Source organism: Homo sapiens, chromosome 1 (assembly GCF_000001405.40).
Source record: "Homo sapiens chromosome 1, GRCh38.p14 Primary Assembly".
Lineage (NCBI taxonomy): Eukaryota > Metazoa > Chordata > Mammalia > Primates > Hominidae > Homo > Homo sapiens.
In genome coordinates, this window is record NC_000001.11 from 92,094,283 (window position 1) to 92,106,698 (window position 12,416).

The following is a 12,416-nucleotide window of genomic DNA, read 5'->3' on the forward strand; positions in this document are numbered from 1 at the left end:
TGTAGTGTCTTGCATATAGAAAGCACTTGTGACGTACCCTTTTTTGGTTTCAAAGCAGATTGTTTTGACATTTGTCTGTATGAAAAGAAGGCAAAAGGAAGGGAGTACAATGGAAAATGTTGACATGAAAATTTCTTCTAGTGAAAATTCCCATAAAATAATTTCTTGAATTTTTGCTTTGTGAAATTCAGTCCTTGTAAGTCTCTTCAGTTCACATCCTTTCTTTTTAAGTAATGGATAAAGATTTTGAAATAGTCTTTTATGTTACTACTTATTGTAGCCCTTTGGTGTGTACTTTGTGCACTTGAGTTAGAGTGTGAAATACAGCCTTTGAAAAGTTGTTTTATATGCAGTGACTTCAGATATGCCTCAAATGATTGTCAGTGGAAAGTTGTGCTTGCTTTATGACCTCATGATTAAAATTCAATTCAGGATCATAAAAATCCTTGATTTCCCAAGAAGACTAACCTGGTTATTGTTGTGAGAGTGTGTGTGCATGTGAGAGGTAAAGAAAAGAGGGAGGACCTTTGGATGTTTAGTTTAACATCAAGAGCTGGGAGATACCAGGATAAAGTCTCAGTCAGGTAAATACATAAAACAGCACAGAACAAAGGATATCATTTCCTCTGCAAGCTTTCTCTGGCGGTAGCCATTGTCTCTCCCACATCCCTTATACTACAAGGATTGAAAGTGGTTGGAATAAGTGTCTTCCTTGTTGTATTTTCTTTCTGGTATCTGGGGTCTTGCTGATGGGGTTGGGGGAAAAGACTGCCCCTCCCAGGTTCGCTAATTCCTAGAGATAGTAAATGACTTGCCTGTGAACCAGCCAATCCTAAGTACATGGACCCACCTATATATCCATTCATATATGCACATTCTCTATCTGGTTCTCATATTCCAGGAGATAACATTCTTTTCCCCTAATCTCCCTATAGCCAAGTACCAGACAAGTAGGGATCACTCCCATAGGCCAGAGCCAGTCAACATTATTCAAAAAATCCAGCCCTGATCCTGTTCAGTTGCTTACCTTGCCTTGCTTATTTCTTCCCTTGAAAACCCCAATAAAGGCTTTTGTCCATGCTTTCCCCTTGCTCCTTCTGACCAACCCTGTTGCTTCCCTGTGTGGCCCTGCATGGTGTGCCCCCTCCTCTTGTAAATTATAACTAACAAATTATCTTTTCAGTGGCAGTTGTCTCCTGATCTGTTGGCCTCACTATACCTGAATAACACCAAAATTTCTGTACATTTTAAACACTCATGAATGTCCTTGCTTCCTTCCTTCTTACTCCCCTATTGTTGAATCTCATTTTACTAGTCTATACCACAGGACAGTCATCAGCAGACTGCCAGTTCAGTCCTCCTTCCATAAAGATTTTAGCTACTATTGTCAATTTTCCTAAGTATATGTGTTAGTAATTGCAATTGCTATGTAGATGATGTTTCCAGTAACTTGGCCTCTCAGTGCCTTCAATTCCTGTCTTCCAGTAATCTTGTTGTCCACTCTACCTCAACTACTCACTGCCATGTCAAATCCTAAATAGTGCTGTTATCAATAACTACAGCCCCCCGTCATCTTGATTCTAAGAATCTTACTCTCTAACTTCTACCTCCTGTCTTTCTAGCTTACTCCCTTTAGGACTTCAACTCTAATAATTCATTAATTGCAGGTCCTGGTAGAGTTAATCTTACTACTTTTTTTTTTTTTCTGAGACAGAGGCTTGCTCTGTCACCCAGGCTGGATGGCAGTGGCGTGATCTTGGCTCACTGCAACCTCTGCCTCCAAGGCTTACGCAATTCTTGTGCCTCAGTCTCACAAGTAGCTGGGATTACAGGCTCCCACCACCATGCCAAACTAATTTTGTGTTTTTAGTAGAAACGGGTTCGCCATGTTGGCCAGGCTGGTCTCGAGCTCCTGACCTCAAGTGATCCAGCTGCCTCAGCTTCCCAAAGTGCTGGGATTACAGGCATGAACCATCAAGCCCAGGCTAGATTTTAATTTTCTTTTATCCTCTTATGTCCTCATTTCCCTCCTTACTCAGCTTAAATGCCTTTCACTATCATTGTATTACTCCCTTTGCATACACCTTCAACTCTGTTGTTCCCTTTGAATTTGATTTGTATGTCAAAACCCCAAATCTTACATTCAACTGTGACCTCTCCACTTCTGCATTCACACAGCTGAATGTGGCTGGGAAAACACACAGTCATGCTAACCACCAGTAGGCACTTAGTGCTGTTAGTCATACTACATGCAATCACCTATATTTCCTTTTTTTTTTTTTTTTAGAGATGATATTTCATTCTGTTGCCTAGGCTGGAGTGTGATGGTGCAATCATAGCTCACTGTAACCTTGAATGCCTGGACTCAAGTGATCCTCCTGAGTAGCTGGGACTACAGGTGCATGCCACCACACCTGGCTAATTTTTCTATTTTTTATAGAGATGGGGTCTTGCTGTGTTGCCCAGACTAGTCTAGAATTCCTGGGCTTAAGCAGTCCTCCCACCTCGGTCTCACAAAACGCTGAGATTACAGGTATGAGCCATAGCGTGTGGCCAATCACCTATATTTCCCTAGTCCTATTTGAGTTCCCACTTTCTTGGAGTATTATTTTATACTTCCTCTTTCCTGAACCTTCAGCCGTTCCTCTTCATTCTCACTTTTGATGACCTGCTTTCTATTTCACTGAGAAAGTCAAAGCAGTGAGAACTTTTACAAACTTCTTCCATATCTGTTCACATACTTGCATCTGTACCTATATGCTTTATTTTCCTCCCTGTTATTACTGATGAACTGTCAGTGCTTCTAAAATCAAATCCTCTATTTGTCCACCAGATCTCATCCTATTCCTTTTCACCTAGTCTGGGACATTGTTCCAGCAGTTTTCATCTTTCCACAGAAATTTCTTCTGTCTTAGATCTCCTCATCTAAACATGGTATTTTCTCCCCCGCCTAAAAAATGACTCTTTCCTGACCTGCCTTCACTTTCAGCTAATACTCCACCAGCTAATACCCTAATGCTCTGCTCCTTTTCACATCAAAGCTCCTCAAGAATTATCTATCACACTCTTGCCAATTCGTTTCCTCCCATCTACTCTTTTTTTAATGGATATAATTTTCACATACTATAAAATTGACCATTCTAAAGTGTATGAGTCAGTGGTTTTAATATATTCACAATGTTGTGCCACCAACATCACTAATTCCAGAATATCTTCATCATCCCAGAAAGAAGCCCCATAGCCATTAGCAGCCACCCCTATTTCCTCCTTCAGCCAGCCCCTGGTGAACAACCTACTTTCTGTCTTTAAGGATTTGCCTATTCTGGTCATTTCATATAAATGGAATCATTCAATATATGGCCTTTTACGTGTGGCTTTCCAAACTCGACATGGTATTTTCACAGTTCATCTATGTTGTGACACGTATCAATACTTTATTCCCTTTATGGCTGTATATTTTATTATATGATAAATCAGGGGTCATAGGATTATCCTCAGGTTTGATGATTTGCTGAGAGGACTCACAGTACTCAGCATATAGTCATACTAAAGGCTATGATTTACTACAGAGAAAGGAAACGGAAAAGCTGCGTGGGGCAAAGTTCATGAAAATCAAGGCATAAGTTTCTAAGGGTCTTCTCCTGGTGGGAGCACAGAGGACATGCCTAATTTCCCCAGCGATGAGTTGTGACAATGCTTCTGAAATGTTGCCAACAAGGGACACTCATCAGAAGCTCAATGCCCAGGTTTTTTTAATTGGGAATTGGTCACGTAGGCACTCCTGCCCACGTGTACTCGAATTCCAGACTCCCAGGAGGAAAGTCTGTGTTCAGCCTAAACTATTGCTTGTATAAACAGTTTAGACATAGTGAGCCACCTTTACATTTAGAGAATGCTAAGAACAGCGCCCAAATCCATGTTTCCAGATATCAGCCAAGGGCCAAGTTTATAAATAAATCTTTCAAGGTATAGCAGTCAGGCCTGCTATGTTACCTATTTTCCCCTACATATAGATATACTGTATTTTGTTTACCCAGTCATCAGATGATAGGCTTTTGGGTTATTTCGGCTTTTTGGCTATTATGAATAAATCTGCTATGAACATTTATATATAAATTTTTTGTGGGAACATACATTTTCAAGTCTCTTGTATTATATACCTAGGAGTGGAATTACTGGGTCATATAGTAACCTTTTCAGGAACTGACAGACTCTTTTCCAAAATGACTGTACCATTTTACATTACCACCAGCATGTACAAAATTTCCAATTTCTCCATATTCTCAACATGTTATCTGTTTTTTTTTAAAATTATACCTATCCTAGTGGCTGTGAACTGGTATTATTGTTTTCATTTGCATTCCCATGGTAGCTAATCATTTGCATTTCCATGATAGGTAATGATCTTGAGCAATTTTTGTATGCTTATCAGTTATTTTTACATATTCTTTGGAAAACTAATCACGTCCTTTGCCCATTTTAAAATTGGGTTCTCTTTAAACTATTATGCTTTTAGAGATTTCTGTATATACTGGAATACTAGACTCTTATCAGACATGATTTGCAGAAGTTTTCTCTCATTCTCTGGGTTCTCTTTTAGGGTATTCTGGAAATCAAACATCTTTAATTTGTGTGATTTCCACTTTATCTTTTCTTTTGTCGCTGTGCTTTTGGAATCATATCTAAGACACCAAGGTCATGAAGATTTATGCCTATGTTTACTTAAAACAGTTTTGTACTTTTAGCTTTTCCATTTAGGTCTTTGATCTATTCTGGTGAATTTTTGTATATGGTATGAGGTTAGCGTCTAACTTCATTCTTTTGCATTTGGATGTTCACTTGTCTCAGCACCATTTATGGGGGAGACTGTTCTTTCCCCATTGTGTTATTGTCTGGACACCCTTGTCAAAAATTAGTTGCCCATAAATGTATGTTCTAGACTCAGTTCTATTCCACTGATCTACATGTCCACCATTCTTATGTCAGTACTACACAGTCTTGATTACTGTAGCTTTGTAGGAAGCTTAGAAAATTGAGAAGTGTGAATCCACCAACTTTGTTATTTGCAAGATTGTTTTGGCTGTTCTGGGCCCCTTGTATTTCCATTTGAATTTGAGGATTGGCTTGTCAATTTCTGCAAAAAAAAAAAAAAAGTCAGCTGGAATTTTAATAGAGATTGCATTTAATCTGTAGATCAATTCAGAAAGTACTACTATCTTAACAATATTAAGTCATCTAATCCGTGAACACGAGATGTGTTTCCATTTATTTAGTTGCTTTCGACATTGTTTTGTAGCTTTCAATGAGTGTCTTATACTTCTTTTGTTAAATATATTCCTGGTATTTTATTTTTTAGAATACGATTGTAAATGGAATTATTTTCTAATTTCATTTTTGGTTGTTCAGTGCTAGTATATAAAAACATAATTTTTGCATGTTGATCTTGTAAGCTGCAACCTTGCTAAACTTGTTTAGTAGTGTTTTTGTAGATTTCCAAGGATTTTATCTATACAAATTTGTCATCTATAAATAAAGATAGCTTTACTTATTTCTTTACCGTGTAGATGCCTTTTATTTCTTTTTCTTGCCTAATTGCCCTGGCTAAAACCTTCTATAAAATGTTGAATAGAAGTGGTAAGAGCAGACATCCTGGCTGATCTTAGGAAGAAAGCTTTCAGTTACCATTAAAGTATGATGTCAGCTGTGGGTTTTTCATGGATGTCCTTTATCAAGTTGAGGACATTCTCTTTTATTCCTAGTTTGTTGAATGTTTTATCATGACAGCGTGTTGGGCTTTGTCAAATGATTTTTCTGCATTGATTGAAGTGATCATGTGGTTTTGTGTACTTTATTTTACTGATATGGTGTATAACATTAATTTTCTGAATTCCTGAGATACATCTGTTTGTCATGGTTTATAATCCCTTTTATATGCTGCTGGATTCAGTTTAAAATTATTTTGTTGAGGGTTTTTTTATTTACACTAATAAGGAATGTTGGCCTATGTTTTTCTTTCCTTTGTCTGCTTTTGTATTAGTAATACTGGCCTCACAGAATGAGTTGGGAAGTGTTCCTTCCTCTCCTGTGTTTTTGGAAAAATTTGTGAAGGATTGGTGTTAATTATTAAACATTTGGTAGAATCTACCAGTCAAGCTATCTGGTTCTGTTTTTTTCTTTGAGGGAAGATTTTGATTACTAATTCAATCCCTTTACTTGTTATAGGTGTACTCAGATACTCTGTTTCTTCTTGAGTCAGGTTTGGTAGTTTGTGTCTTTCTTGGAATTGTCCATTTCATCTAGATTATCTACTTTTTTGGCATTATTATTATTATTATTATTATTTTTGAGATGGAGTCTCACACTGTCACCCAGGCTGGAGTACAGTGGCATGATCTCGGCTCACTGCAAGCTCTGCCTCCTGGGTTCAAGCGATTCTCCTGACTCAGCCTCCCAAGTAGCTGGGATTACAGGCACCCTGTACCACGCCCAGTTAATTTTTTGTATTTTTAGTAGAGACGGGGTTTCACCATGTTGGGCAGGCTGGTCTCGAACTCCTGACCTCGTGATTCGTTTGCCTCGGCCTCCCAAAGTGCTGGGATTATGGGCGTGAGCCACCGCGCCTGGCTGGCATTATTATTTTTTGTTTTTATTTATTTCCATAGGTTTGTGGGGGAACAGGTGGTGTTTGGTTACATTAATAAGTTCTTTAGTGGTGATTTCTGAGATTTTGGTAGACCCATCACCGGAGCAGTATACAGTGTATCCAATTTGTAGTCTTTTATCCCTCATCCTCCTTCCACCGTTTCCCCCACCAATCCCCATTGTCCATTGTATCATTCTTATGTCTTTGCATCCTCATAGCTTAGCTCCCATTTATGAATGAGAACATATGATGTTTTCTAATCCTGAGTTACTTCCACATCACAGGGTAGTTCTCTCTGAGGAATATTCTGAGTTGTCATTTTCAGTCTCATATCCCAAGCTCTGAAGGGCACAAGGATCAACTCAGGCCAGGTGTATGGATACTTGACATTGATGGTTGCTGGACCTTAGCCATTTATGCCCATCCACATGGCTCCAGCCATCTCGGTAAAAGTAATGCCTTCCAAGCAAATCCCCAGAATAATTTTACTGAAGCATGACAAAATTCACATGGAAGAAGACAGCTCCTGAAATATTCATGACAGCTCCCGCAGGCACACTACTCACTGCCCCACCAGGACCCGGGGAACCTCCACCTGCCACACAGTCCCCCAAGGGGAAACAGAGGCATCGAAGGTTCCAGGGGTGAGGTGACACTCACTGTGGGTAGCCAGCAGCAGCCACGAATTCCATTTTTTGGCATTATATATTACTTTTTAACATTTAACATTTTTATAGACTCCTTTTCAAACTTGCTGCTGTTTATTTTTTATTTTTATTTACTTATTTTTGAGACAGGGTTTCACTCTGTTGCCCTGACTGGAGTGCAGTGGCATGATCACAGCTCACTGCAACTTGACCTGCAGAGCTTAAATGATCCTCCCACCTCAGCCACCCAAGTAGCTGGGACTACAGGTGCATGCCACCACACTCTGCTAAGTTTTTAAATTTTTTGTAAAGACGAGGTCTCACTATGTTGCCCAGGTTGCTCTTGAACTCCTGAGCTCAAGCAATCCTCCTGCCTTGACCTCCCAAAATGTTAGGATTACAGGCGTGAGCCATCACACCCGGCTTCTGCTGTTTTATTTTATTTATTATTATTATTATTCTTTTTTGAGATGGAGTCTTGCTCTGTCGCTCAGGCTGGATTACAGTGGCACAATCTCAGCTCACTGCAACCTCCGCCTCCTGGGTTCAAGTGATTCTCATGTCTTAGCCTCCCAAGCAGCTTACAGACACCCGCCACCATGCTCAGCTAATTTTTGTATTTTTTTATTAGAGACAGGGTTTCGCCATGTTGGCCAGGCTGATCTTGAACTCCTGACCTCAAATGGTCTCCCCACCTCGGCCTCCCAAAGTGCTGGGATTACAGGTGTGAACCACCATGCCCAGCTGGCTTCTGCTATTTTAGATTGACCTTTCTACAGTTAGTCCAAATTAAGAAGGTTTAATATTATATATGAAAGTAGCACACTAAGGAAACTAGCATTCTTTCTTTTTAAGAATCACCAATGTTATTTTATTAATATTTTATATTTTGTCTTTTAGGATTATATATTCATCAAACAGAAACATAAAAAACTATGAAGAGGAAATTCTTAGGAAAAAGATAATGGAGATTGGGATATCACAAAAGCAACTTGACATCAGTTTTCCAAAGTGTGAAAACTCATCTGATTGTTCTCTTCAGAAGCATGAAATTCCAGAGGATATCAGTGACAGAGATGATGATTTCATTTCCAATGGTGAGGTATTTTTTATGGAGTTGTATTTATAGCCGTAAAAATAATTATATTCTGATACAGTTAGAGAAAAGCATACTTCAAAAATATGCTTTACTGATTTTTTTTTTAATAAGCATGGAGAACTGAAAACACTAGTATTGTTAACTCCCAGTTTTTCCCAAGTAATTGGAGATAGGGTTATTATGAATAAATCCATACATAACTCACAATTCTCTTTTTAGCCATTATGCCTCTACGTTATTGTCCTTATTATAATCTATACCAATAAAGAAGCTTTGGCAGAGTCAATTCTGTTTCACACCCTAACAAAAATGGTAGCCTAGTTTTATGCATATTAAATGGTTAAGAAATACATAAATACTATAATACATATGGCATTTTACCATGAAAGAGACCTGAAGTTTGCTTGTGAAAGTAGATTTCAGAAGGATTGTGGCTTGTGAGTTATTGCAAATTGATGGAATGAGAAAGTGGATTTCAGAAGGGTTGCAGCTTGTGAGTTATTGCAAATTGATGGAACTCATTTTTTCAAAACAAGTGTTAGAGCGGAATTGATTATATTTGAAAATATTTGTTGGGTTAAAGGATCTTATTACTGGTGTGTAAACCAACAACAATTACTTACGTGATTTATCCTGGTTAGATTCCTGTTATATTACAGTCAACATATCTAATTATGGTGAATGAATAGACATTCTAGGCCTTGAGGTAGATCATTCATATGCATTAAGGATGGAATGCATTAAAGATGGATGCATGTGTAGAGAGAGGTTCTGACAGGAAACCTGAGGTCCCTGGATCAGAGAACAGAACATTTATCATTTGCAGAGCATCTTAGTGCCAGTTCTCAGCTCCTAAACTCCGTGAGGCACTGCAGTGAGGGCCTGATGTTACCTAGCCCATGCAGTGGGATTGCACCACAGAAAAGGAACACCAAAATTAGGAAACTTTAAGCTTCCACAGGTTGTTGGCAGATCTTCCCATTCTCCTCTCTAGAGACAGAAAGACCTTTCTTTGGAAGGTAAATCTTTGGGAGGGGAGGAGAAGGTAGTTTCCTTACCCTGTAATATAAGGAAATGACTTCCAGGGGAGGAATGTTTCTCAATTTTTCTGGAGTAATACATATCTCTAGTTTCCAAGGCATGTTTGCTTTTTAATCATCCTTTAACCAAGTTTACTGGTGCTCTGCTCAGACAGGTCAGACCATGCTAAAACATAAAAATATTCATAGAAAAGTGTCTCCCAATAGTTGGTTATCTGAAGTCAGATGGGAATTTATAAAACCAGATATAGATGGGTGTGTCTCATAACACATGCAGTAAACTGAGGTATCTGGTAGATATTTAGGTGTGCATGTGTGCAGGTGCATGGCTCAGTTCAGCTGAGTGCAGCTTTCTGCAATAACCTGGTGTTTCTCATCTGAATTTTGCACCTAAGCAAATGCGAAATTCATGTTATGCTCAAATTGTTCCCTAATACATGAATTGTATTGGATCAAACTCATTTTCTCAAAACAAGTGTTAGAGCAGAATTGATTGTATTTGAAAATATTTTTTGGGTTAAAGGATCTTATTACTGGTGTGTAAAGCAACAACAGTTACTCATCTGATTTATCCTGGTTAGATTCCTGTTATATTACAGTCAACATATCTAATTATGAGTGAATGAATACACATTCTAGGCCTTGAGGTAGATCATTCATATGCTTTATTTAATTTAGTCTCATAAAACCCTAGGAAGTGTTACAGACTGATGTTATCAATAAGACCCAGATAGGACTCTAAGACTCAGAGAGCATAAGAGACTTTCCCGAGGTCACACAGAGCAATTGACAGAGCTGATATTTGAAATCCAGTTTTCTTACTCTAGTCTAGAGCTCTGCTGTGGCTCTATGGCAACCCTTTAAAATGGCCATATAAGTTGTGAGTTTAAGTGAAAAGAGCTTCTGCCTTTCGACTGTTTTCTCCATCACTCCATGGAAAATCCCCACATTCACCAGTAACCTGCCAGTTGCCAGCTTAACAGACATTTTTTTGCCTACATCTTATAAACCTTTTTGCAGCCTTTCATACTGTTAATACTGCCCTCCTTGAAACTTCTGTTTTCTGTGACACCATGCTTTCCTGATTTTCCTTCTTGGCCATTTCTCAGTCTTTTTTACTGATGTATCATTTTTCTACCCCTTAAATAAATGGTATTCTGTAATTTTTTTGAGCTTCATATCCAACCACTGACTAAACATACCTGTTAAAGTCTACCTTATTATTATTTTTTTTTTTTGAGAAGGAGTCTCACTCCGTAACCCAGGCTGGAGTGCCGTGGCACAAATCTTGTCTCATTGCAACCTCCGCCTCCCGGGTTCACGCCATTCTCCTGCCTCAGCCTCCCAAGTAGCTGGAACTACAGGCACCTGCCACCACGCCTGGCTAATTTTTTATATTTTTAGTAGAGATGGTGTTTCACCGTGTTAGCCAGGATGGTCTTGATCTCCTGACCTTGTGATCCGCCCGCCTCAGCCTGCCAGAGTGATGGGATTACAGGCGTGAGCCACTGTGCCCGGCCCCTTATTTTTTTATTTTTTAAATTTTTATTGTTTTTAATGAGATGGGGTCTCACTCTGTCACCCAGGCAGGAGTACAGTGTCATGATCGCAGCTCACTGCAACCTCTACCTCCCAGGCCCAAGTGATCCTCCCACCTCAGCCTCTCGAGTAGCTGGGCCCAGAGGGCTGACCACCACACCTGGCTAATATTTTGTATTCTTAGTAGAGATGAGGTTTCCCTGCGTTGCCCAGGCTGGTCTTGAACTCCTGAGCTCAGGCAGTCCACCCGCCTCAGCCTCCCAAAGTGCTGGGATTATAGGCATGAGCCACTGTGCCCAGCCAAAATATATCTTAAATATCTCAAATGTAACCTGTCCCAAATTCAACTTGTGGGACTCTGTCACCAGTGACTGATCTTCACCAGAGCTACTGGCCAAAGTTTGTTGACAGGCAAGGTTACGATAAACAGTTGTTAAAAGAAAAACGTTAGATAAAATGAACCTGAGTTTATATGAACAAAGAACAATTCATGAATCATGCAGCACTCAGAACCAGAAGAGGTTCAGAGAACTCTGCTCTACAACTGGCCAGTGAGTATGTATAGACAGAACATGGAAGTAAAGTACAGAAATGGCTTGATTGGTTATAACTAAGTGTTTGCCTTATTTGGACATGGCCAGATAATTTGGCTGCCTGTGATTGGCCAAAGCTCGGCTGCTTATAATTGGCTGAGATCTAGCTATCTATTACCAAAAATAAACACTCCTAAGTTAGGTTAGGTTTTGGTTTGTTTACATACTAAGGTTGCAGTTCCTTAAGTAGGAACTCAAAGTATGGAGGCAGCTTACTTCAAATTTAAGTTAACAGTTTCTGCCTTTGGATTAGTCTCTTGATTGTGAGATTGACCAAAACCTTGGGCATTGATGCCAGTCTCTTGATACCATCATAATGGACTTGTTTGGTCTCACAGTAGAATTTACTGGTCTCCATGTCAGGTCAGTTAAATGATTCTTTACATTCTTGCTGTTTTAGTCAAAGTTAAGACCATTTAATGCACGATGGATGGCAGCATACAAATATTTAAGTCTCCTGAGAGGATGTGGTATACCAGGGATGCTACTATCATGACTATCAGGAGGCTAATACCAAAAGGCAAAAGTGTACTCCTGCCAGGCGTGGTGGCTCACGCCTGTAATCCCAGCACTTTAGGAGGCTGAGGCGGGCAGATCACGAGGTCAGGAGATCGAGACCATCCTGGCTAACATGGTGAAACCCCGTCTCTACTAAAAATACAAAAAAATTAGCCAGGCTTGGTGGCATACACCTGTAGTCCCAGCTACTTGGGAGGCTGGGGCAGGAGAATGGCATGAACCCAGGAGGTGGAGCTTGTGGTGAGCCAAGATTGCACCACTGCACTCCAGCCTGGGCGACAGAGTAAGACTCTGTCTCAAAAAAAAAAAAAAAAAAAAAAAAAAAAAGTGTAGTCC

General features: G+C 39.5%; 1 protein-coding gene across 5 annotated transcripts in view; it reads left to right on the forward strand.

The window, feature by feature from the left end:
* Positions 1-12,416, forward strand: part of BTBD8 (BTB domain containing 8) — a 104,379-nt gene that overhangs the window by 13,938 nt on the left and 78,025 nt on the right. For all 5 annotated transcript variants that reach the window (XM_047418461.1, NM_001376131.1, XM_047418464.1 and 2 more), the window contains exon 3: positions 8,191-8,387. In XM_047418461.1, the coding sequence (XP_047274417.1) occupies positions 8,191-8,387 (197 nt within the window). The remainder of the gene's footprint in view (positions 1-8,190; positions 8,388-12,416) is intronic.